The sequence below is a fragment of the Homo sapiens genome, chromosome 2, assembly GCF_000001405.40.
Source record: "Homo sapiens chromosome 2, GRCh38.p14 Primary Assembly".
Taxonomy (NCBI): Eukaryota; Metazoa; Chordata; class Mammalia; order Primates; family Hominidae; genus Homo; species Homo sapiens.
Window position 1 is genome coordinate 43772410 of NC_000002.12, and position 27190 is coordinate 43799599.

Here is a 27190-nt window from a genome sequence, read left to right on the forward strand (position 1 = left end):
TGAAGTACTCGTACTGAGTATTGTGCCCAGTACATAGCAAGCACTTGGCAAAAATGTTAGCTGTCGTTATTGCTATCAATATCAACAGGCCTTCCTAACTAGCATGCAAAAGTATTCTGAAGTTCTAGAACCCAAATCATTACAATTCATTACAATCTGTCCCATATCAGTTTGTGAGCTTAAAGTCTGGCTTAGCACCAGGCTATAGCTGTTGATTCAATGACAGATGTATAAGCCTCCTTTGAAAAATCATCCTTTCTTCGGTGAGCTCTACTCCCATTAATTCCCTTCCTATGTGCAGCTTAGTGTTCTTTACGTCTCCAAAATATACCTAGGTGTTGGGAGGATTTTGTTCCCAATGACTTTATTTGAAATAAACACCCTTTTATCAACCATCAGCCTTGTTTCCAGGAATGTGTTCCTTGTGTTTCTTTGTTCGAAGTTGCTGACCAGCAGCTTATCACACAATAATAACAAGCATTAAGCAGTTATAATGTGTCAGACACCCACGTAAGTTATGTTTTACCTACATTTATCTCATTTAAGATTCACAATCTTTCCCGCTTTACAGGATCAGAAATTCAGTGATTTACCCGATGTGGCAATGTGACAACTTAGCCAGCGTGGCCAAGTCAGAACTTGAACCTAGGTCCATCTCACGCCAAAGCCCATGTACTTGAACATCGCACCATAGAAATCAAGCCGAATAGTAGAGGACTGGAGGGAGGGTATCTCCTTCAAATATTCAGGGCATCTTAGGCTAGAAAGCCTGAGTCTACTCAGCATTCAATACAGACCAAATACTATCAGTGCCATGGTTTCACCATCTCCTTCAGGCATAATTGGTCACTTGCCCTCATGCAATTTTTGTACCTCTATACAATAGTTTAGATCACTCACTTCCTTAGGTGCTTATAATTAGCTGAGTGTGTGTCTTTCTTAAGGGCAGCGATCTTTTCTTACTCATCTCTTTATTCCTTATTCTGTGTAGCATAGGGCCTTGCATATTCAATGATTGTTATTTATTTCAATGCTCGTTATTTATTTGGACACTCCTGCAGATCTATAAAGAGACCACAAAGTTCCAAAAGAAAATAATCTACATTCACAAAGTAAATGAAGTATGTAGGAGATGCACTTGCTTCATTAATTTATTAATAAATACACAATGTGCTATTGAATAAAACTTGAAACAACTAAACATCTAGAAAGTTGGAAAATATTAAAATTACGTGCCTTATTTTAAATTTTAAAGTCCGAATATTCCTTGCTTCTAGTAAATTAGCAGAAAACAGCTCAAGAGATTGTTACACCCTCTATTCCTAAATCATGGCGATTGGGAAGAAAAAAGTGAAAGATGAGAGAGAGAGAGAGCAGAGACCCTTGGCATATAGTTGACACCCAGTAAAAAAATTTTAAAATAAAAGAAAATTGCTTTTAGATCCCAGGTTTGTAACCCCTTATCATCTCGTTCTAGGAGGTAACAAGGAGTTACTAACTTGGGATCTAAAAGCAATCCTAAGGCTTGAGGCCGAGAATGAGATGTAAAAGGACTCCTGAAAACTACATTTCCCATGATGCCCGTCTCCCCACGCAACCGCGGCCGCGACGTCGCTCCCATGGCAACCCAGAAGGCCTCACTCCCAGACTCCTTGCGGAGCTCGCCGCCTGATTCTAGGCTGGTCACTACTCCGAGCCTGTGACGTTTGCGGCAGCCAGGCCGTCGACGATGCCCAGGTATTCCCTGAACCCGGCTTGCGTGGGAAAGGCTACTGAGAGTATTCCTGGAGAGAGGAAGCCCAGGCGGGACCAGCTGTTGGAAGATTGTGGGGGTGGCTACTTGCCACCAGGATATGCAGGGTCGGGGACCTAGGAATCAGCCTTGAGCATAAAGATTCTGCCGCAAACAGGAAAGAAAAGAAAGTTCCCTAGGTAGAAAAGTGAGAGATTTGGAAAGATCAGCAACTCCACCCATTCAATGATTGAATAAAAGTTTCTTGCAGGCCAGAGACTACTTCCGGAGCAGGACATTCGGCGATGAGCTAGACCACAAAGCCTCCTCTCCCCAGGGGCCTCCCCTCCTGGTGCGGGGGTTCGCAGTAATAAGCGAGGGGAAACTTGGAAGGCACTGTGGAAAGTATAACATCACTTTTAAGGGGGGAAACGGGAGAGGGTTTGTAAACTATATTCTAGCTGTTCAATTCTATGATATTCATTTTAATTACCTGTTCACAAGATATTCCTAAACCTTTTCTCAACAATTTATGCTTAAGCACGTCGGGGAGAGGGGTCAGGGAGTGCATCACAGAGCAGGATAAATCTTTTTCTCTCCTTGGGATAGTGTGGAGAATTGTCAGCTTTCCATCAAGGGATAATTGGTTAGTTATAAAGCTATGGTTATACTTCCCGATTTCCGCAGGTGTCGTGGCTGACTGCAGCACCTCCGTCTTTCCTCTCTGCTAGGTATTTGGAAAGCAGATCCTCATATTTTGAAAGAATGTTGTGTAAATGAAGAGCAAACAGCCCGAAACTGAGTTCTGAAGGCTCACCTGTGAAATAAATGCATGAATTTTAGTGCAAACATTTAAGGACTCCTGTTTTGACCCTTTTTCTTATTCCTGGTTCTTGAATAGTATAATTACAAGCCCTCAATAATTTTTGTAATTGTATAGGCCATGCCCTAAACTACATATATATTTTAACAATTATGACAATCCTATAAAGCTGATACTCTTTTTTATTGGCTTTTTAGAGATAGAGAAACAATTGAGCCTGGGGAATAGCACAGAGGATTGCATATATTAGGTGCTCAATAAATATTTGTTTAATTAATAAAGGAATGAAGGATTTAAAGAGGTTAGGTAGTTTTCCCAAGTTCACATACATAGGAAGTAGCAGAATCAGGCTAGGACCTATCAGGTCTTGCCCATGGTTAGTTTTTAGTTTAATATTCCATTTTCACTTAGGCTTTAATTAATATATATATGATTTTATCGTGTAAAGTTATATATCTGTGTAAAGAAATCAATGAAAGGATTGTTTTCAAAATGTTTGTGGTTTTAGGGTTTTTTTTTCTTTCTTTCTTTATGGTTTTTTTTTGGCGGGGGGAGACAAGGTCTTGCTGTGTCACCCAGGCTGGAGTGCAGTGATGTCAACATGCTTACTGCAGCCTCGACCTCCAGGGCTCAGGCAATCCTCCTGCCTCAGCCTCCCTAGTAGCTGGGACCACGAGTGCATGTCACCACACCCAGCTAATTTCTTTTCTTTTTCTTTTTTTATTTTCTTTTTTTTTTTTTTAGACAGAGTCTCGCTCTGTTGCCCAGGCTGGAGTGCAGTGGCACGATCTTGGCTCAATACAACATCCACCTCCTGAGTTCAGGTGATTCTCATGCCTCAGCCTCCTGAGTAGCTGGAGTTACAGACACCCGCCACCACACCTGGCCAATTTTTTTTTTTTTTTTTTTTTTTTTTTTTTAGTAGAGATGGGGTTTTACCATGTTGGCCAGGCTGGTCTTGAACTCCTGACCTCAAGTGATCCACCCACCTTGGCCTCCTAAAGTGCTGGGATTACAGGTGTGAACCACCACTCCCAGCCTCAGCCAATTTTTTTTGTTTGTTTTCTTTTCTTCTTCTTCTTTTTTTATACTTTAAGTTCTAGGATACATGTGCACAACGTGCAGGTTTGTTACATATGTATACATGTGCCATGTTGGTTTGCTGCACCCATTAATTCATCATTTACATTAGGTATTTCTCCTAATGCTATCCCTCCCCCATGCTAATTTATTAGTAGTAGTAGTAGTAGTAGCAGTAGTAGAGATGGGATCTTCCTGTATTGCCTAGGCTGATCTCAAGTGATCCTCCTGCCTCAGCCTCCCATATACTTTTATATTAAACAAAATTTTTTTTTACCTAAAAACATAATCTAAAACACAAAAAAGAAATGTTTCAGGGAGGAAAGATTATTTGATACACTGGTTTTGTACTTTTCCCATCTTCCTAGGTGACTTAAATGTTTGTGGTTTTCAAGTTGTACATTCCCAAAGTCATTGTACCTCCATATGTGTCTGAGAAGCTGACATACACAGCTATGAACCGTAGGGGAAGACCCAAATGTGACAGCCTCAAATCCTGGCAATAAAGGCTCTGCTTATCAATTTCAGTATTCTTCAGAGAACTAGTTCAAAGCAACAAAAGAAAAATAAAATCATAGAATGACTAATCCTCAGATGTTTTACCAGATTATTGTTCCTCAGAAAATAATGTTCATTTGTTTCATAAATTATACTGAAATAAAATTTCTCTGAGCTTGAAATAAATATTTGAAAGAATTCTTTTTCCCTCAATTTTGTTTTTTCTGCCTCTCATGTAGTGAAACTCTCTGGGAAATTGCAAAAGCTGAAGTGGAAAAAAGGGGAATTAATGGAAGTGAAGGTGATGGAGCTGAAATTGCAGAAAAATTTGTTTTCTTCATTGGCAGTAAAAATGGGGTAATGCTTTCTTTTTTTCAATTATTGTGATGATTTAACAACCATTGGTAAAATATCTGTTAATACTTTGATTAAAATGTAGATACTTCAACACTTTAACCAGATGACCAATCTGGTTTAGCATGAATTAAAAAGTGCTTATTATTAATCTAGGAAAAACTATAATAGTAAACAAAATTTTAGAAAAATATATTTAAACTATTTTTTATTTCATGATTTGAAAATATTCAGGTCTTCTACCACAATTGAGTGTAAAAGCTAGGATTCATGTAAATATCTAAGTCAGTCTCTAAATCAGTAAGTCAGTATCTTAACAATTTTATATTTTAGATTGTTACTTTACTTTTAGAAATCTCATTAAAGGAATAATTGAACTGTGTCAATGATATTTGTTACAGGGTTATTAATTATTTTGAAATATCTGGGGAAAATATGGCAGCATTTCCAGTGGACCACTGATTGGTAGGAAGGGACCCCTCCCCACTTGTTGTAAGTCTCTGTTTTACTTGGCCAAGCATACAGAAAGGCGTGGAAGTGGCCACACAGTGTAGGAACATATGCATCATATCTTCATGCAACTTTGCCTGGCCCACAAAGTTCCTGCCAGGAAGGCAAAATGACTGGTGACACAAAAAGGTCAAGGCTTGCCAGATGCAAGATGCTGAAATTCATGTAGTGCCATAGCTCATTTCTGTGTGGGGTTCAAATTCCTGTTCACTTTCTGTGCTCCATGCTTCCACTTAAGCGCATTGACAAATACGAAGCTTTCAGAAACTACACTCTGCATCAGCAGGGCTACGTGTTCACTGGGCAACGTCAGCGCCCAGGCAGCCTGAGCACCCGTCTTGTCTCCAGATGAGTCCCAGAAGGCCCTCTCTGCACAACCGGACACCCTCCATTGGGGGTTTTATATACAACATTAAGATTACATATATTGGGAGAAATACCTGTACAACCATGAAAAAGGTTTTAGTGATGTAAGAATATAATCTGAATTAAAAAAGCAGGACACAAGTGTCATACATGACATGATCCCAATTATACAAATACGTAAATAAAAAATTCTGATAAAAATTAGAAATATGGATAGTAAAATTCTAATCACTTAATGTTTTTATTTTGTTTTTAATTTTTTTATTTTCCAGAGTTTTCATATTGGCCCACTTTTTAAAATTCAAACTTAATTCTTTAAAATAAAATTATCGTAGAGATCATTTATATTTTAAAATTTTAACCCAACTATATAAGTATATATTTTATAAGCATGTTATTTCTTTTTTTGAGACAGGGTCTCGCTCTGGTTGCCCAGGCTAGAGTGCAGTGGTGCGATCTCAGCACCCTGCAGCCTTGACTTCCCTGGCTCGGGTGATTTTACCTCAAGTAGCTGGGATTACAGGCATGCGCCACCACACCCGGCTAATTTTTTGTATTTTTAATAGAGATGGGGTTTCACTGCGTTGCCCAGGCTGACCTCAAACTCCTGGACTCAAGCAATCCACCCATCTCAGCCTCCTAGAATGCTGGGATTACAGGCATGAGTCACCGCCCCTGGCTACGCATTATTTCACGAGTTTACTATTATGATGCACGTGATTTTCATATTAGGCATAGTACTTAACAGTTTCCTACATTGTATCTTACTGCCATGTAGGTACATACATGGATTTAAATAAATGAGTAAATAACTAGTACTAGTCTTATGGTACAAATACATTTCTATTACAGAAAACATTCTGTACACAGAATATTAGATAGAATGGCTTATACTAATGGTACTGATTACTGACTCCATCATACAAATGCTTACATACAAAATACCCCTACCAGTATCCTCTTAGCGCTCTCTGTAACAGTTATTCTTGACTCCCTTGTAGTCATGATACCCTGTTTTGTCTTGTTTTGTTTTGTTTTTTTGTTACTTGTGAAACCACCCCTTTTTCTTGATGGCAATATGTGGCATATACAAACTGTTTTTTGTTTTTAGTAATAAAAGTAATTTTGTTTCTGATGATTTGGGAACTCCCTTGATATCTAAAACTTTTGAGGGTATTATTCTTTAAAAAGTCTGTGATTCTGCTGAGTGCAGTAGCTCATGCTTGTAATCCCAGGACTTTGGGAGGCTGAGGCAGATGGATTGCTTGAGCCCAGGAGTTCGAGACCAACCTAGGCAACGTGGCAAAACCCAGTCTCCCCCCAAAAAAATAAAACAATTAGCCGGGTGTGGTGGCACTCACCTGTATGTAGTCCCAGCTACGTGGAAGACTGAGGTGAGAGGATCACTTGAGCCCAGAAGGTTAAGGCTGCCGTGAGCCATCGTGATTGTGCCACTACACTCTAGCCTGGGCAACAGAGGGAGACCTTGTTTCAAAAAAGAAAGAAAAAAGTATCTGATTCTGCTTCATGGAGAACATTATTTTGGAAGATAAAGAGAAGCGATTAATGCTTCTATTGTTCAATTAATAGTAATCACCCTTTACCAAAGAAGCCCACTGCCCTGCTGCCTTCTCTTTCTCCTTCCAACCATCTGTTCATCCATTCGGTTGACATTGATCGAACATCTTTTATATGCTAAGCATCCTGCTAGACACTGTGGAAACAGGAATGAAAGGCATTCTCCCTGGGAAGCAACTTGTGTATCAGGACTTGTACACCAACAATGACAATACCATGAGACAAATGCTGTGGTGGAAAACAGAGAGGGCACTTAACTCACCCCAGAAAGTTGGGAGACTAGGAAAGCCTCCTGAAGAGAGTGATGGCTAAAGCTTGAAGGTGAGAAGTAAGGAAAGAGAAGTAATTCAGGTGAAGAGTGTGGAGTATTCTAAGATGATCAAGAAAAATGTATGAAACAGATATTCCAACAAATGGGAGAAAGATCATACTAGAGGAATGTAATAGGATTTTCAGTCATTGTTGACTGCCATTTTGATGATGGATGTTAGTTTGATACTAATCTGCCCAGAGTACATGGTTTTTCTCCACCATCACTCACTTGCATGGGTGCAGGCATGGAGGAGGAAGGTGATTACCTGGGGCAGTCTTTGCTGGTTGGGTACAGTGCAAAGTGAGGGAGCTCAGGGCATGAATGGTATTTAACAGAGATGATTGTAATGATAAACTATGGGCTCTGAGATGGAAAAGGAGAAAAGTGAAGGTAGGAAGAGGCTGATGGAGTAGGAGCGACTGTTAGTGGGGGGAAGAGGGGTGTCAATGGACATTTGAGACCTTTCACTAAGGTCAAAGAGTTATTACTGTGGGGATGCCTGAAGAAGTGGTTAGAGAATGTGTTGTTTGTACATGTGATTTTGGAAGCAGTGCAGTTTCCAGTGAAACTGGAAAGCTTCAAGATGTAACCTTGGAAGTGACCATGGCAGAAGCAGAGTGAGGGAAAAGGCCTCCATTGGGAGGCAAATGCACTGAGAGCTCCGGATGTCAGGTGGATTGCCAAGACCCATGTGGGTGTGAAGAAGATTCATGACAGTAGCTGAAAAGGTAAGGGAGATTGTGAGCCAGAAGAGATGACAACAACCCTGGTGGTAAACTGATACGAGCCTCTGAGGTTTTTTCAAGAGGAGGGAGGTAGAGTAGTTGTTTATAGGTGGCACTGGGGAGCAAGGAGGACCCTAATGTATGTAGGGTAGTGAGAATAAATAGCTTCGTTTAACAAGGCTGCAGAGGAAGGGGTTCAGGGTAAGTCATATTTTAGTTAAGGCCAACATGTGGAGAGAATATTCTGAAAAGGCTGAGATATTGGGGAGTTTGCCAGTCATGGAGCTGAAGTCATAGAGTGGAAGGATTTTAGAGGAAGGGAAGACAGAAGGGGATTATTGGGCCAGATTAAGGGATGTTTACAGAGTTAGGAAATTCAGAGTTCCAGGGATAATGGGTCAGAGGAGAGGGCTGGACATCTGGGGCGATTGAGGCAATGGGAGGGAAGATGGGATTCATTTTGATGGTCTCTAAATGAACTTGTACTAGGTCAATGTTTCTTGAATTAGGAAACCCACAAGACTACAGCCACATGCTCAGGGGACCAGAGTGTACTAATGAATTTTTAAATTTTGGATTGTAATTTTAATGATAATCTAAAACTTGATTTCAGTTCCCAGATTAGTTTATGTTAATTTGGAATTGTTACCATATAGTGCTATACATTTATATGAAATAATAATAAAAGTGATTTAAGGCCAGGCGTGGTGGCTCAAGACTGTAATCCCAGCACTTTGGAAGGCTGAGGTGGGAAGATCACTTGAGGCCAGGAGTTCAAGACCAGCCTGACCAACATAGTGAAACCCCATCTCAACTAAAAAATACAAAAAGTTACCTGCACGTGGTGGTGCATACTGGTAATCCCAGCTACTCCGGAGGCTGAGGCCTAAGAATCACTTGAACCCAGAGGCAGAGGTTTCATGAGCCAAGATGGTGCCACTGCACTCCAGCCTATGCAACAGAGGGAGACTCTGTCTCAAAAAAAAAAACAAAAAAGGCGAGGGGGAGTGATTTAAATCAATGAATACTAGTGTACCATGAAAATTTGAGGAAATTGGCTAGATATTATTTAAAATTCCTTCCAATTCTTATTCTACTTTCTTGCAGAGTACATTACTTTTTGGGTAATGTAGCCCTTATTAATTTAGAACTTTTACAGCATACTACATATGATACAAGTTCATTGTAGGAAAATTAGAAAATCCTGATTTTCTTTTTCTTTTTTTTTTTTTGAGACAGAGTCTCGCTCTGTCGCCTAGGTTCGAGTGCAGTGGTGTGATCTCGGCTCACTGCAGCCTCTGCCTCCTGGGTTCACACCATTCTCCTGCCTCAGCCTCCCAAGTTGCTGGGACTGCAGGTGCCCACGACCACGCCTGGTAATTTTTTTGTATTTTTAGTAGAGTTGGGGTTTCGCCATGTTAGCCAGGATGGTCTTGATATCCTGACCTCGTGATCCACCCGCCTCGGCCTCCCAAAGTGCTGGGATTACAGGCGTGAGCCACCATGCCTGGCAGAAAATCCTGATTTTCTTAAAAACTTTAATTACCTTCAAATCCTTCAGCTAGAAATAATCATTATTAACATAGTGATGTCCCCCTACATTTGTGTGTTTGTTTCTGTCTATGTGTGTGTGTGTGTGTGTGTGTGTACTTCAAGGAAGCAGGAAAAGTATTTTTTAATTGAAAACAGAGACATGCTGATCTATTATGAATGTTTTACTATGTCAGTAAGTATATTTCTACATTGTCATTCATAATAGCTGTATATTATTCTATTATATGGTTTACCATAATTAATTTAGCCAGTAGGGGACATGTAGGTTGTTTTTAGTTTTTCAGTTTGATGTAACACTGGCCAATAAACATCCTTCAATAATATACATTTTTATATTGTACAATTCCAGTTATTTTTTAATATATCTCATTACAAAAAATTTACTCAATTTGATCGTATTCCAGATATAATCTGGAGTAATTATCTTTTTTGTCAAAAACTATAGGTTTTTTTAGTAAAAACAAAAACACATATAATAAGTGTTCTGTGTTTTTGGCAATCCAGAGTTTTCCAAATTATTTTCTTTAGAGCCTGAAGGTTTCCTCCAGTGGAGCTTGTCCTGCTGTTTCTCTTTTATCTGTTTCCTTGCAAGGGGTCTTTTCTTTAAAAAAAAAAAAAAAAAAAGGATTTTACTATTTTTTAAAAATGATATAAACCACTGAGCTAATCCCTGGCTAAGCTGTGAAGTTAAGTTGCCTGACTAGTGGTAGGAATTAGGCCAGAACTTGTATTTCCTTACTCCTAAAAAGAAACTTGGGGTTGGGCATGGTGGCTCACACCTGTAATCCCAGCACTTTGAGAGGCTGAGGTGGGCAGATTAGATGAGGCCAGGAGTTCAAGACCAGCCTAGCCAACATGGCAAAACCTTGTTTCTACTAAAAATACAAAAATTACCCAGGCATGGTGGTGTGCACCTGTAATCCCAGCTACTTGAGAGGGTGAGGCACGAGAATCACTTGAGCCCAGGAGGCAGAGGTTGCAGTGAGCCAAGATCATGCCACTGCACTCCAGCCTTGGCAACAGAGTGAGACTCTGTCTCAAAAATAAAATAAAATAAAATAAAAATAAACAGAAACTTGGAATAAGTACATCCTCTGGACTTAAAACAAATTACTCTAATGCAGTATCTGAATTGCTTACTTTGAACATATTTACAATGTGTCCTTTATTTGTATGTTACCTTTTTCTTTATTTCCACTTCAACAATTGGAATTAAAACATTTTAAAAGACACTAAGCATCGGCTTAACCAGTAATTAACATTGATGAGTAGAGAAAAAATTTAAGACAGCTGCCAAGTTGACCACTTAAGTGAGGTATGATTTGCTAGTATTTGTCATCTGTGGGACTTTATAATTATAATAATAGCAGTGTAGTTACACTGTGATGGAAAGTTGACAGTTAACTTTTTCCACTTATCAAACTTTAGAACAATTCCGAAAGTTTCTAGTTTTTAGTTTCCAGGTAATTTATCATTCAATTGATTAAAAATCTATTTTGGGCCACAATTACGAACAATAATACAATTTTTACATATGAGTGACATTAACGCAGTGTTCCTTCTTTTTTAATTTCCAGGGAAAGACTACTATTATTCTAAGGTGTCTTGACAGGTAAGTGTTATGTTAACCTTTAAACTATATTTATGCTTATTCTAGTTGTATAGGGCAAGTTAGCTCTAAAAGACATAAGGAAGGGGAACGATTTTGAGACCCAAACAAAATATTTAATTCTTAGCAAATCCTTAGTATAACCTTTAAGAGCGCCTTTAAATATAAAACTAACAATAAGCCAAAAATTATATGAGACTAATACTGGATTTCCCTATTTGAGGGAGAAATGTTACCATAATTACCCAACCTACAATAGTATTTACCTTCTTTTTGGCTATGCTACTCTGATATTTAAATTATTTTTGTTCTACCTAATCTACAATTATTTGAACATTCATTGTAAGCTTTAGTTGCTCAGGGGTACATTTTTGAAGCACAGTGTTGGTCCTCAAACTGGATATTTTATCATTTATTTTATATATTTCCTAACGTATACTGTAGAAGCAGGCCATCAGATTAAGATTTAGCAGTATGATTGGTAGATGTTTCAGGAAGCTGATGAGGAAAGCCTTCAGTCATTTTTGGAAGATATTTCTCTGTTCCCTTCATTTGAATACATATATCTTATAACTTCTCCAAAATCATCAAAAGAGATGGAATTTGGTGTTAAGGTCACATTAAAGAAACATCACTCATTTGAAAAATATTTTTAAAGGATACAAATAATAAATTCCTGCTTTTGTGTAATTCCTTTCACCAACAATATTGTTTCTCAGAGGAACTATCAACAGTAACACCTGTATTATCTTTCCATATCCAGGAATCATGGGTCTTTTTAGACCACATTTAGACGTTTCCTGTCATAAACAAATCATCTAATACAACACCAGCTTAGGATAAAATACTACAAAATAGTACATTGAGTTGAAAAGTATTAATTTCTTTCTTTCTTTTTTTTTTTTGAGATGGAGTTTCGCTCTTGTTGCCCAGGCTGGAGTGCAATGGCGCCATCTCGGCTCACTGCAACCTCCGCCTCCTGGGTTCAAGCGATTCTCCTGCCTCAGCCTCCCGCTGGGATTACAGGCATGTGCCACCACGCCGAGCTAATTTTGTATTTTTAGTAGAGACAGGGTTTCTCCATGTTGGTCAGGCTGGTCTCGAACTCACGATGTCAGGTGATCCGCCTGCCACGGCCTCCCAAAGTACTGGGAATCCAGGTGTGAGCCACCACGCCTGGCCCTGAAAAGTATTAATTTCAATTCCTCAATAGTCTACTTAGGAAAAGGTTAATTTTCTAAAATATAGGTTAAATATCAGATCTTATGAATTTTGTCTTAAAAGTGGCATTTGGCTTGATAAAATTTCTATCTTTTGGGACATATAACCGAATATTACTCTCTATATAACGTATTCAAAAGATGTATGCAGGGGTGATATTCAGAATATTCAATAAACATAATTATGTAAGTCACAAATTTAAAAATCATTTCTCTTTCTTCTCCAGTCTAAGGATAGATATGGGACCGGGTGCAGTGGCTCATGCCTGTAATCCTAGCACTTTGGGAGGGCAAGGCAGGCGGATCGCTTGAACTCAGGAGTTCAAGACCAGCTTGGCCAACATAGTGAGAACTCGTCTGTACCAAAAGATACAAAAATTAGCTGGGCATGGTGGTGCATACCTGTAGTCCCAGCTACTCAGGAAGCTGAGGTGGGAGGATTACTTGAGCCCGAGAGGTTGAGGCTGCAGTGAGCTGTGATCGCGCCACTGCATTCTAGCCTGCATGACAGAGTGAGACCCTGTCTCAATAAAATAAAATAGGAAAGTAAAATAAAGATATGTAGCAACATAATTTGGCCTTAAAAAGGAAGGAAATTCTGTCACATGCTACAACATGGATGAACCTTGAGGCATTATGCTAAGTTAAATGAGCCAGAAACAAAAAAAACACAAATATTGGGGTGGGTGCAGTGGCTCACACCTGTAATCCCAGCACTCTGGGAGGCCGAGGCGGGCATATCATTTGAGGTCAGGAGTTCGAGATCAGCCTGGCCAACATAGTGAAACCTCATCTCTACTAAAAATACAAAAATTGGCCAAGCGTGGTGGCGGGCCCCTGTAATCCCAGGTCCTTGGGAGGCTGAGGCATGGGAATCACTTGAACCTGGGAGGCAGAGGTTGCAGTGACCCAAGATTGTGCCACTGCAAAAAAAATAAATAAATAAAATAAAATAAAATATATATAGTATGATTCCACTTATATGAGATATCTAAAATAATCAAACTCAGAAACAAAAAGTAGAATGGTAGTTACCAAGGACTAGGGGGAAGGGAAAATGAGAAGTTGTTTAATGGGTATGGAGTTTCAGTTTTGTGAGATGAAAAAGTTCTGAATATTAGTTACATAACAACGTGAATAAATTTAATACTACTGAATTGTACACTTAAAAATAGGTAAGATAAATTCTATTTTATGTGTTCTTTACCATAATAAAAAATTAAATATATATACACCATAAAACTGCTTACCAGCAATATAAGCTATAGTATAAATAATTCAGCAAATTGTTTTAATATTTTCCTAATCATTACTGATTTTAAGGACTTGTTGATATAATTTATTAACTATCATTATCTAAATGATGCCCATGTTTGGGCTGTGATTTAAGATAAAGAACTGCTAGAGAACTGCGTTAAAGTCTTGCATTGTTTTTGTTTTTTTGTGAGACAGGGTGCCTCTCTGTCACCCAGGCTGGAGTGCAGTGGCATGATCTCGGCTTACTGCAGCCTCAACTTCCCAGGCTCAAGTGATTCTCCCACCTCAGCCTCCTGAGTAGTTGGGACTACAGACATGTGCTACCTTTTTTTTTGTAGAGACAGGGTTTTGCCATGTTGCCCAGGCCAGTCTTAAACTCATGGACTCAAGCAATTTACTCGCCTCAGCCTCCCAAAGTGCTAGGATTACAGGCGTGAGCTACCATGCCTGGCCAAGTCTTGCATTGATGTTTTAAATTGACAGTCATTAGGTTCCTCACATCAGGGCTGAGTATAAACCCAGTGTCACTTTGGGAGGCCGAGGCGGGCGGATCACGAGGTCAGGAGATCGAGACCATCCTGGTCAGGAGATCTAGACCATCCTGGCTAACGTAGTGAAACCCTGTCTTTACTAAAAATACAAAAAAAATTAGCTGGGCCTGGTGGCGGGTGCTTGTAGTCCCAGCTACTCGGGAGGCTGAGGCAGGAGAATGGCGTGAACCCAGGAGGCGGAGCTTGCAGTGAGCCAAGATCGTGCCACTGCACTCCAGCCTGGGCGACAAAGCAAGACTCCATCTCAAAAAAACAAAAACAAAACAAAAAAAAACACCCAGTGTCAGTGCTTCCTGCATGGCCTGGATGTAGAGATCTTGTGCCCAGCGTGGCCATCCACGCTGCCAGCCTCAACACATTCTCTACTTTGCCCCAGCAGTGCCTTTAGGGGCTACCACATGCATGTGCTGTTAAAATCCACTAAGACGGTGTTTTGCAGGTTTATTTCTTTTGTGAATATAATTTATTTCAACGCTATTATACAAGGTAACTTCTCTACTAATAAAGTTTTCAAGAGGAAGGAAAAATGAATCAGGTAAGGTGATAGCATAAGAAACTAATACCACCTACAATGATAATACTATCGGCCTTTATTATACAGAGATGAACCACCAAAACCAACCTTAGCTTTGGAATATACATATGGAAGAAGAGCAAAAGGGCACAACACAGTAAGTGTCTTTTAAAGTGACATTGCTATGCCCATAGATGGGAAAGTAATGCTGCTGACTTTGTTTTACATTTTCCATCTCATCTGTAATCAATAAACATACCCAGTTGTACACTTCGTAGCTGTCTACCATTAAACTTCAAATGCAGTGTGGCAGATAGAAGCCAACCCAAACTGTGAAAACATTTTAGCCTTCTCATTTATTATGTCTTAAAATGCTAGAATAAGATACCTTTTTAACTTTATTGTACAGTTCATGAGAATAGTGTTGTGAGTTATTTTCTGTCTCTCAAAAAATCTGCTAAAATATAGGTTTGACCTGTGGAATATTTATGAAAATATACTGTTTAAAATCTAAATTATTAGCATTTAAAAATGCATCTTGAAGTTGATAGTACTAGTTGAGGTCATATGCCCTGCTTGATTATAATCCTATTTTCACTTGTTTTAATGTCTCTTTAGAGGAACATGATAAACTCTTCAGGATAGAAGAAGGGTTCATAGTATATGCTGGCAGGGGGTGGGGTGGGGAATTCCTAAATAGAATCTTTTTGGAGTTGTCACCTGAAAAGAGATCATTTCTTAAAGTTAAGTGTGTAGAAGGACAATCTAGAATGGAGCATCCCGCTACTCTGCTAACACAGGCACATTTTTATACACTGACTTAGTCCAAATATTTCCTCATTAGACAGTGTATAAAGAGATAAAACTGCCTATTGTTGCTTCCAGGATTCACCAATGAAAGTGGGTTATTAAAACTGAAATTTAAAGAAAAAAACATAATATATAGAGATACAGGAGAACTTCATTTTTGTGAGTCACTTGAATTTTGACATGAGTAATAAGCCTAGAAATGTAATTATGCTTTTCATTGGAAACTTTGAGACAGCTCTCATAAGCTTAACTTTTGAGAAGAGCTCTAAAAGCTTCCCTTTATCAAATTGTGAATGGAGGGAGATTTTCCAGGGAAGAATTGTTTTTCCCACAAAAATTAATGATTCAAATATGAACAGCCAAACAATTGTAGAGATTACAGGATGAAATTTTGTCAAAAATCCAAAATAATATATATTCACCTAAAACTTATTTTATTGACAATCTGTCTCTTCCAGGCTCATGGGAGCAGATACGTAAAAACTTGTGTAATTTTTTTTCTAAACTGTGTACTATCAAGTGGGATATTTCCATATTCATTCTGGAAGCATCATGTCTTTCTCAGATTTAATTCCCTAGGAGTCCTAAATAGAAGCACTTTGTCAGCTCCTCACAATTTCAGTGACCTGAAGTGTCTTCAGTGTCAGGACAGAAGCAGAAATGCCATTAGCCAACAGTCTAGGAACGTCTTATGGAATCAGTGGTCCTTTTTCTTTTCTTTTCTTTTTCTTTCGGAGACAAGGTCTCACTTTGTTTCCCAGGCTGGAGTACAGTGGCAGGATCATAGCTCATGGCAGCCTCAAACTCCTGGGCTCAAAGAATCCTCCCGCATTAGCCTCCCAAGTAAACTGTCACCACAAATTCACTACAAGCATGTACCACCACACTCAGCTAATTTAAAAAAATTGTTTATAGTGATGGAGTCTCACTGTGTTGGCCAGACTGACCTTGAACTCCTGGCTTCAAGTGATCCTCCAGCCTTGGCCTCCCAAAGTGCTGGGGTTTACAGGTGTGAACCACTGCACCCAACCCTAGATGATCTTATTTCTGAACTTCTTGGCTGCCTAGCCCTGTCAGTTTCCTATTATTTTGAGGGTCCTATGAAAAGAGAAGCAGTTGTTTGAACTCTTGTTCCCCCACCTACCGTGTATTATTGTCAGTGGTAGCCTGTCAGATTCTCCACAGGAATCAGGAACAAATCGTCTGCTTATACTTTTGCTCAAGTAATCTTGATCCGCAGCCAGGATTGCCATTTGTTTGTCCCTTTTCTTCATGCTTTACGTGTGTCTAATTCATTCTGCGAGCTTCTGTCTTCCTAAATAGGAATGTTTTCCTATTCACCTGTTTTATTTCTATCTAGAATTATAAATGTTTTCCAAAAGATAATACGAAATTTGTTGAACGGGTTAATTTTTATCTAAAATCTGCATAAGTATATGCTACATATGTTATTTACAAGATTGACGCACTGTTGATGTCTTCTGTTTAGGTATTACTAGAATTAGGGCATTTGTGTACACATATAAACAATTCTGAATAGTTCATCATTTTTCTTTAGAGTAGGTGCTTTGATGCATTTTGAGGGATGGGATAAAGGAAAAAATTTTGACTGCCAAGAAAGGGTTGATTAAGGACTGCAATATTTTGTATGTATAATTATTACTGGGAAGTGCTAATGACATATAAGAAGTACTTAAACTTCAAAAAATCAAAAATTTTTGTTTTTCAGCCAAAAGATATCGCTCACTTTTGGGAACTCGGTGGAGGAACCTCTTTATTGGACTTAATCAGCATACCCATCACAGGTGACACCTTACGGTAAGTGAGCCAGCTCCAGGAAAACCTGTAAGTACACAGGAGTGTCCCTAGGAGGAATATGAGTTGGCTTTTCTCAGTCAGAATTTTGGGGCACAGTTTTATGTTGCTGAAGGCTTATGCCCACTTCCTTTCTAAATGCCTAACCTGTAATGCTTTCAAAGAAGTTTTAAAAGAACCAAGATTTTGGCCCGTGCTGAACTGAGATAGCTGACATTCCCCCCAGTAACATATTTTGCAAGCTGAAAACAAACAAACAAAAATACATCAAATTACACTTGGGCAGTGAATTCATTTTGTAAAAATAAATTTGAAAAGCCTAATTCTTTCTGTTATCCATCTCAGTATGAGTTAATTCGGCTCTGAGTTTTTTCTTCAGCTGAGTATTATAAGCTACCTTTGAATTTAGTGCTAATTAATATTCTTGAAGCTTCATTTAAAGGAAGACTATATGTCGGAGAAGAGAGAAAGTCTCTCCGTTTGCTGACCTTAGAGAAATAGAACTTAGAGGAAAACCTCAAAACGCTTGAGTGATGTTTTCCTGACAGTAACTCCCACATGTTGGCCAAATATGTGGAAAATTGTGACATTTCTTAGTGTTCCTGGGAACTGGTCTTAGCTAAGAAAAACAATTTTTTTTAATCTGAAATATTTTGTTCTTAGAGTTTAACATAAACCATTGCTGCTGCCTGGATCAAATACAAAGGGCTTGACAATTAGTTGTTACATGTTGGTCATTAAGCTCCTTGGAGGATTGAATTATTTCTTGTTAATGGGACCGTTGTTTTTCTAGAACTGGCTGGATACGGTTGGTTTTATTTGGTCTTTTTTTTTTTCCTTTTAGTGAAATATGATTTACTTTCTTTCACTTATTAGAAAAGTAATATATGCGCTTACAGAAAACTTGTAAAAATACTGAAAGACACAAAGTAAAAGGAACCAGAATCACATTAAAAAATAACCACTTTAACATGTTGAGGTATTTCAGCCTTTTCAATGTCTGTAAATAGACTTCGTACAGGTTTGGGATATTTTATATACATATTTAGATCTTGCTTTTCCACTTTTGAACACTTTTCTCTATGATTTTATTTTTCAGGAACATGGAATTTTACAGTTATATAGTTTTTCATTTGTCTTTCTTTAATGGTGACAAATAAGTGAAGCTGCCTGGGAATAGTGCCTAGTGGTGTGGTTGAGAAGAGATGGTGAGGGGCCAGGTGCGGTGGCTCAGGCCTGTAATCTCAGCACTTTGAGAGGCCAGAGCCAGTGGATCACTTGAGGTCTGGAGTTCAAGACCAGCCTGGGCAACATAGTGAGACCCCATCTCTACAAAAAAATTAAAAAATAAAATTAGCCAGGCATCATAGCAAGCCTCTGTAGTACCAGCTACACAGGTGGCTGAGGCAGGAGGATTGCGTGAGCCAGGGAGTTCAAGGCTGCAGTAAGCTATGATCATACCACTGTACTCCAGCCTGAGTGACAGAGTGAGACATTGTCTCTTTAAAAAAGAGAGAGAGAGAGATAGGGTGGGAGGAGCTTCCAGTTACAGTGGCCAGAGGCTGAAAGGGTGAAAATACAGGAGGTGGCTCTTACCTGGGTTGGGAGTCGCCTCCTATTCAACTGACTTGTTTTATTACCTCACTCCCCTTCTTGAAGCCCAAAAGGTTTTGGCCTGCTGGGGTTGTGGAAATTCTAGGTTCTGCAGGAAGCCAGATCATCCCAAGGGTTAATACCTCATTTGTGAGGTCTTGGGCTTCCTTTCCCTGGAGCCCCATGACAGCTGGGACCTGCTTTAGGAGAGAGGAAGGGTCAGGGTTATGATCAACAGAGGGAAAGGGAAAGGGAGCCATAGGCTTGGGTCTAAAGTAGGTTGCTGGGTGGTTAAATAATTCATGGAAAAACATTTCATTCACCATGTCAAAAACACTCAAACTGTTTTTGACTGGAATTAGTTTGACACATAATTTCCTTGTGTTGGATGAAGTCTCACAACTTGAGAAAACAATATTGCCAAATACTGTTAGATACTGTTTATCTTTGAAATAACTGTTTATAGAATTATAAATGCATTGAACATTTCCACACACTTTAGACAATTTGTAATAGAACATTTCCTGTAGTCTGAATCTCTGTTTTAGGAGTTTATGTAAAAAAATTTTTTGGCTATCATTTGCTATGAAATAGGTAAAAAGTAACAAAAGTATTTCTAATATACTGTAAACAAAAATTTTAATCTTAGAAAAAATTTGAGTAATTTATTTTTCTTTTGCTTAGAATAATTTTTCATTTGAAAAAATAATAAATTTTATGTTATATCCATTTCATCACAATGAAAAAATGTTAAATCATAGTTGAAACACAACCATACCAAAACCCTGAAAATGAAATTAGTACAATTAAAAATGTATATACTATTTTTACACTTAAGCAAAACTGCTTATGAGCTTATTAAAATGACATAAATATAATTGCCTAGACAATGTAATAGCACAATAATTTTTAGAAAATTTGATAATTAATGTGTAAAAGACTACTTTCTGAATTTAGACCAACAGAATTGTTACTGTTTTGCTTGAATTATACAAAATAGCCTGTTTACTTGAACTAAACAAAATAATTAAATAACATATTATAATTTTGTGCTATGTCTTCTAGCAGAATGTTTGCTGTGTTGATCAAGGATATATTGGTTATATTGGATATAATCCTAAACCATCAAGGATTATGGTTCTACATACTTATTATAACCATTTTTAAAAATACTCCTAGATTTACAAATGTTTAGTTTTTATTGTCGTAAAATATACATAGCGTAAAATTTTAGTCATTTTTAACTGTGCAGTTCAGTAACATCAAGTATATTCTCATCACCATACATCTCCAGAACTTTTTGATCTTCTCAAACTGAAACTCTTTACCTATTAAACAATAACTCCTTGTTTTTCCTTCCCCAGCTCCTGGCAACTATCATCCCTACTGCCTGTCTCTATGAATTTGACCACTCCAGTACCTCATATAAATGAAATCATTCATTATTTGTCCTTTTGTTATTTATTTCATTTAGCATAACGTCTTCAGGGTTCTTCCGTTTGTAGTATGTGTCAGGATTTCCCTCACTTCTAAGGCTAAATAATGTTCCATTGTGTAAACAAATACCACAGTTCAGTTATCCGTTAATCCATGCAGAACATTTGGGTTGTTTTCATCTTTTGACTATTGTGAGTAATGCTGGTATGAACATTGGTGTACATTATCTGTTTAAATCTCTTCCTTCAGTTCTTTTGGGTTTAGACTCAGAAGTGGAATTGCTGGATCATCTGGTAATTCTATGGTGAATTTTTTGAGGAATCACTATACTATTTTACACAGTGGCTGCACCATTTTACATTCCCATAAGCAATGTACAGGGGTTCTAATTTCTCTGTATCCTCACTAATACTTGTTATCTTCTCATTTAAAAAAATGTTTTAGGCCAGGAGTGGTGGCTTACACCTGTAATCCCAACACTTTGGGAGGCTGAGGTGGGTAGATCACCTGAGGTCAGGAGTTCGAGACCAGCCTGGGCAACATGGTGAAACCTCGTCTCTACTAAAAATACAAAAATTAGCCGGATGTGGTGGTGCATGCCTGTGATCCCAGCTACTTGGGAGGCTGAGGCAGGAGAATGGCTTGAACCCGGGAGGCAGAGGTTGCAGTGAGCTGAGATCATGCCACTGTACTCCAGCCTGGACAATAGAGACTCCTCCTCCAAAAACAACAACAAAAAAATGTTTTGACAATAGCTAGCCTAATGGATAGGAAGTTGGACATCTTTTCATGTGTTAATTGGCCATCTGTATATCTTCTTTGGCGAAATGTCTATTTGAGTCTTTTGCCTTCTTTTTTTTTTTTTTTAATATAGTTGAGTTGGGGTCTCACTATGTTGCCCAGGCTGGTCTTGAACTCCTGGCCTCAAGTGATCCTCCTGCCTCAGCTTCCCAAAGCTCTAGAATTACAGACATGAGCCACCATCCCTGGCCTCTTTGCCCATTTTTGAACAGGAATGTTTGTTTTTGTTGCCGAGTCTAGGTTTATGTTTGATGGGCATGAACAGAATACAAGTGCATGTGGTGATGGTGGTCATGTATCTGGTGGTCAGGAGTGTGCTTTCAGAGAGACAGAATGGTATTGCAGAAAAACGTGTAACTTTGGATCTAAATACCAGTTCTACAATTTACTAATTATATAAATCTGTGCCTCAGACTTCTAATCTATAAAATGGACATTATAACATCTTCTGGAGAGGGTTATTGTGGAGATTAACTAGGTAGTTCCCTAGCAAGGTCCACCCATATATCTATTTTCTTCTCCTTTACCTGATTATTGTGTTACTGTTTTTGCTTCTTTTATTATTTTTGCTTCCCTTTTTTGGAGCACACAGTAAAACTGGATGTAAACGTGGCATTGTCGATGCAAATGCTTGGAGCTTCTCTATTTGAACTAAACTACTTTTAATTTTAGTTCAAACAGAAACTTAGTTCCACTATTGTAACACTTAAATATTACTAGAGGAAAGTATTGGAATAAATAAGGCTATGACTTTGGTTTTTTGTTTTTGGGAGTCTTAGAATAATGCTACGGTTTTTTTTTCCCCTTAAGGTATATTTTAGTTATTCTTAGATAAATTTCAGTACATTAGGATTTCAAAATGGTAATTATTTTGAGTCTTTTTTGAAAAGTGTTTTTATTTCTTTAGGACGTTTTCTCTTGTTCTCGTTCTGGATCTTTCAAAACCTAATGATCTCTGGCCCACCATGGAAAATCTCTTGCAAGCCACAAAAAGCCATGTAGACAAAGTGATAATGAAACTGGGAAAGACAAATGCTAAAGCAGTTTCTGAAATGAGACAGAAGATCTGGAATAATATGCCGAAGGATCATCCTGTGAGTTGCTGTTTGGGATTATTACTGGAATCCTTAGTCCCATTTATAGTTAATGATAACATCACAAACAACTTCTTTAGATTTTTATGCATGACTTGAAATTCATTTGATGTAGATGAACCTGTTCACTGGAAAATTACAGCAATTTATTAAAACCTCAGTAAGAGCAAAACAAGGAAGAAGATTCCTTATATCTTCTTGTTAGACATCTTCTGTGATTGTTATGGCATATTACACCAATCAGAGAAATAGAGTTTTAAAGTAGTGGTTTGATATTGATTTTATAATCTCTGTAAAAATGAAGATAAAAAGCCAGATTGTACAAAAGTCACCTGACAAAGACTAGATGAAGCTACAACTTTAAGCAAGGGGTAGAGTTGTAATAGCCTTCACCATCACTCTGTATTTTACATTCATTTCGTTTCTGTCACTTATTCAGTATCTTTTTATCATCTGACAGCTAATTAAATTATAAAGTTGCTATGATGGTAACACAAGTTCTTCAAATACAATAATAAATATCATCATCTGGAAAACTGAGAGCAGCATTTTATATTATCCAGAGTTTATAAGAAAGTGTAGCAGGGTGCGATGGCTCATGCTTGTAATCCCAGCACTTTGGGTGGCCGAGGCGGGCGGATCACGACGTCAAGAGATCAAGACCATCCTGGCCGACATGGTGAAACCCCGTCTCTACTTAAGATACTAAAATTAGCTGGGTGTGGTGGTACATGCCTGTAGTCCCAGCTACTTGGGAGGCTGAGGCAGGAGAATCGCTTGAACCTGGGAAGTGGAGGTTGCAGTGAGCCGAGATCGCGCCACTACACTCCAGCCTGACTCCAGAGGGAGACTCTGCCTCAAAAGAAAAAAAAAGAGAGGAAGTGTTTTTCATAGGAAATAATGGAACAAAACAAATCTATGCTGGATAAATGCTGTTCCAACAGTCAACATAAAATAGAATAAAAAAAAACCAGGAAGGTAATATGTTATATAAGGAAATAAAAGGGTAGAAAAAGGAAAATAATAAATATCATAGTAATTTAGGGAATTGCCATTTCTAGTTTTACACTTATGAAATATAGCTTAGGAAGTGAAAGTTAAATATTAGAACAAATTCTATGTCAAGCAAATTAAGTAAACATCTATGAAGAGACTGAAAATGGAATGTTTTTGGAAGTAAATAGAAATTGCTAAGCACCTAGCAATAAAGAATTACAACAACTCAAGGAAATATGTTTATTAGCAGGATCATGAATTAATTGACCCATTTCCGGTACCTCTGGTCATAATTGGAAGTAAATATGATGTTTTTCAGGTAAGCTCTTCCGCTTCTAGCTGAGTTTGTTGTACATATATGGCTGTGCTTTTTATGAGGGAGGTACAAAAATAATATCAAAATAAGAAAAATAATTATTGAAGGAATCGGTTAAGTCATGCATCTTAAAGATTTTGGAAAAGACATAGTTGGGACAGAAAAAAATAGGTAAAGAAAATAAATGCAGTGATTAGAATGGGGATAAGGCAGATTTAGAAAATGAATCTTGCCGGGCACAGTGGCTTATGCCAGTAGTCCCAGCACTTTGGGAGGCTGAAGGGGGAGGATCAATTGAGCCCAGGAATTTGAGGTTACAGTGAGCTGTAATCACACCACTATACTCCAGCCTGGGTTACACAGTGAGACACTTGTCTCAAAAAAAAAAAAAAAAGTCTTCAACCCAGTCACTGGGGAATATGACTTACTTCCCAACTTTTAAATGGAAGAAAGTAGAAAATTAGTTCCTTCTTATCTTTGCTTGTCAGAGAATCGTTAGAATTCCACACTATGAAATGTGTGCTTATATCTAAATTCTATTGAGCTAAGTATTTAAACAAAGAAAGATCTGTTAGCTGTAGTTCTAAGAAGGCTGCAGCTATTGTTCAACTCTCTATGAAATAAATATCAAGGTAATGGAATCCTATTCCTGAAAGTGAGTTTAAAAAAATAAGAAATAATCTATTCTACATTTAATAATTTGAATCTTCCTGCTATAGATATTTGGTTATCTTGACTTTTTAAAATAACATATTTCTACAGGATTTTGAGTCTGAGAAGAGAAAGGTAATATGCAAGACACTTCGATTTGTTGCACATTATTATGGAGCATCATTAATGGTTTGTACATTTCTTGTCCTTTGGGCTTGAATGGACAGTACCAAATTTGGGGAAATCAGCAACTTGATGCACAGCTACGAGGAATAAATGCTTTTGCTAATGCACATGGTCCCGTTGCTTTCCCACTGCTGAAGACCTCTCCTTACAGAGTGTTTGATAATGCATCTGTTGAACATGCACTGCTAGATGGTCTCCCCCTTCTTTGGAACAAAAGTTCTAAATTGCTTATATCCATAAATCCCAACCAAGTTTAAAGAGATAAGTTGATGATCTATTTATTCATTTTTGGTATCCCCTTAAGAATTAGAATCTATATTCCCCTAAAAGAAAAACAAAAATCAACTCTATCAGTGTGTGTATTGGGGATGGGGGCTCTTTAAAAAAGTGCTGTTTGTTGTAAAAGTTAAAAACATGAAATCTGAAGTCATGCTCCCTGGGTTCGAATCTCAGAGTGACCATTTATTAGACGTGTGATCTTCGGCAAGTCACTTAATTTCACTTAAGCCTCATTGTCCTCCAGGGTAAAATGGAGAAAAACAGTACCTTCTTCATAGGGTTGTTGTGAGGATTCAAAGAGGGAGTACATGTGAAATGCTTAGCACAGGGCCTAGAACAGAATATTACTCAATAAATGTTGGTTATTATATCACTGTTATCATTATCTCCCATAGCAGGACTAAACTTTACTAAATGTCCTTTAATGCAATAAAATATAACAACTTTTTTTTTTTTTTTTTTTTTTTTGAGACAGTCTCACTCCGTCACCCAGGCTGGAGTATAATAGCATGGTCTCGGCTCACTGCAACCTCTATCTCCTGGGTTCAAGTGATTCTCCTGCCTCAGCCTCCTGAGTAGCTGGGACTACAGGCACGTGCCACCACACCTGGCTAATTTTTGTATTTTTAATAGAGATGGGGTTTCACTATGTTGGCCAGGCTGGTCTTGAACTCCTGACCTCATGATCGACCCTCCTCGGCCTCCCAAACTGCTGGGATTACAAGCGTGAGCCACCATGCCTGGCCAAAACATTTTTATTTAAAAAATTTCCAGCTGGGTGCAGTGGCTCACACCTGTAGTCCTAACACTTTGGGAGGCTAAGGCGAGAGGATCATTTGAGCTCAGGAGTTTCAGACCAGCCTGGGCAACATGGTGAGAACCTGTCTCTACAAAAAATTTTAAAAATTAGCTGGCCATGGTGGCACACACCAGTTGTCTCAGCTACTTGGGAGGCTGAGGTGGGAGGATCACATGAGCTCAGGAGGTCAAGGCTGCAGTGAACCAAAATCACACCACTGCACTCCAGACTGGGCTTGTCTCAAAAAAAAAAAAATTTCCTTTACATTTGAATAATTATTTAATGGTCTCTTTTTTCCTCCAAATTAAAGCACTCAGAGGAACCTAGAGACAACATGGTCTAGCCGCTTGCTTTCATGGCTAGAATATTTTAACTGAAAGTAATATGTACAAAATATGTATTGTCAGTTTTTATACCTTTCAAAACATTACACATTTCATTATGTATTTTCTTAAAAATGATCACCTTTTATGTTTGAATCGTATTTGCTTACGTATTAGGTTGACACAGTACTTTGGGAAATGTTCTTTACTATTTTGAGAGGATATGGGGAATTTAAAGTGAATGGCTCATCGAGGGTACAGAGGTAAAGATCTTGCAGTTACTTATTTTTGCCACTAGAGAGGGTCACACATTTAATTCTGGTTATAAAGTTAGCTGAGGGAAATCCCTGTATTTCTTTAGGAACAGATTACATTTGATGGAGGGTCCAGTCTGGTCTCATGGGTACAAATTTAGATGAAGTCAGGTCAACGCAGTCCACAGCAAGCCTGGGATTAACCATGGCCCAGGAGATCAAACAAGATCAGGGACCAGGGAATGACTTTGAGAATGGCTTCATCTCAGCTTTTAATAAGCCTAAAGGAACAGGGTTTGGGTTAGTGGAGTACTTCTGGACCACCAAAGGAACCATAAGGCCTTTCAGGAAGAATGTAGCCAAAGTGATCAAAGCCTCATCTTTCAGTTTCACATCTCTTCTTACCCTCTGCCCCATTTAAGGAAGAAAGTTGGGTACTGCTTTGCAAAATTCCATGAAATTTAGCAGGGTTTTTTTTTTTTCCAACACTATAGTTGATCCTATATAGTGCAGTTGAGAATATTGATTCAATATTATGAACAATCTAATTAAGTTAATAAAAACAAAACACAGGCCAGGTGTGGTAGCTCTTGCCTCTAATCTCAACACTTGGAGGGTGAGGTGGGAAGATCAGTTGAGGCCAGAAGTTCAAGACCAGCCTGGGCAACAAAATGAGACCTTGTCTTGACAAAAAATTTTTTTAATTAGCCAGTCATCATAGTGCATGCCTGTGATCCTAGCTACTTAGGAGGCTGAGGCAGGGACGATTGCCTGAGCCTGGCAGTTTGAGGCTGCAGTGAGTTATGATCACACTGCTGCACTCCAGCCTGGGAAGCAGAGCGAGACCCCATCTCTTAAAAAACCAATATGCTCCTCGCCCCCCAAAAGAACAGGAGAAGACTGATAAGTAGAACCAGAATCAGAGAAGAGCCATGAGGATGGCAGGGACTTAAAATTATTATATATGAGGACCAGGAGAATATCACCTAAAATGTGATAACTCTCTAATATAGTTGAAGGAATGTTCCATGGAAAAGTGACTAAATTCATTCTTTGCTATTCTAAGGTCCAGAAAAAGGAATCAATAGAGTTTACTCAAAATATGAAAGCACATTCTAATACTACCATTATCTGAAAACAATGAATTATTTG

General features: G+C 38.4%; 1 protein-coding gene and 1 long non-coding RNA gene across 6 annotated transcripts in view, besides 1 other annotated feature; both read left to right on the top strand.

Moving 5' to 3' along the window:
* Positions 1516-1565: an enhancer, noted in NCBI's record as "active region_15680". NCBI's record gives its function as "activates an Ori minimal core promoter by ATAC-STARR-seq in GM12878 lymphoblastoid cells {active_cell/tissue: GM12878}" and the evidence as "EXISTENCE:reporter gene assay evidence [ECO:0000049][PMID:35858748]".
* Positions 1630-27190, top strand: part of DYNC2LI1 (dynein cytoplasmic 2 light intermediate chain 1) — a 54309-nt gene continuing 28748 nt past the window's right edge. For 2 of the 5 annotated variants that reach the window (NM_001348913.2, NM_001193464.2), the window contains exons 1-8: positions 1630-1737; positions 4373-4490; positions 11111-11145; positions 14772-14841; positions 17224-17312; positions 22048-22234; positions 23478-23549; positions 24309-24386. In NM_001348913.2, the coding sequence (NP_001335842.1) occupies positions 1730-1737; positions 4373-4490; positions 11111-11145; positions 14772-14841; positions 17224-17312; positions 22048-22234; positions 23478-23549; positions 24309-24386 (657 nt within the window). In that variant the 5' untranslated portion in view covers positions 1630-1729. Of the gene's footprint in view, positions 1738-4372; positions 4491-11110; positions 11146-14771; positions 14842-17223; positions 17313-22047; positions 22771-23477; positions 23550-24308; positions 24387-27190 lie in introns of those variants that run through there. The other 3 variants (NM_001348912.2, NM_016008.4, NM_015522.4) reach the window with 2 other exon arrangements.
* LOC105374571 (uncharacterized) lies at positions 1744-2583 on the top strand. Its single transcript, XR_940033.2, has 2 exons — positions 1744-2137; positions 2464-2583. It is a non-coding gene; the product is annotated as an uncharacterized LOC105374571 (long non-coding RNA).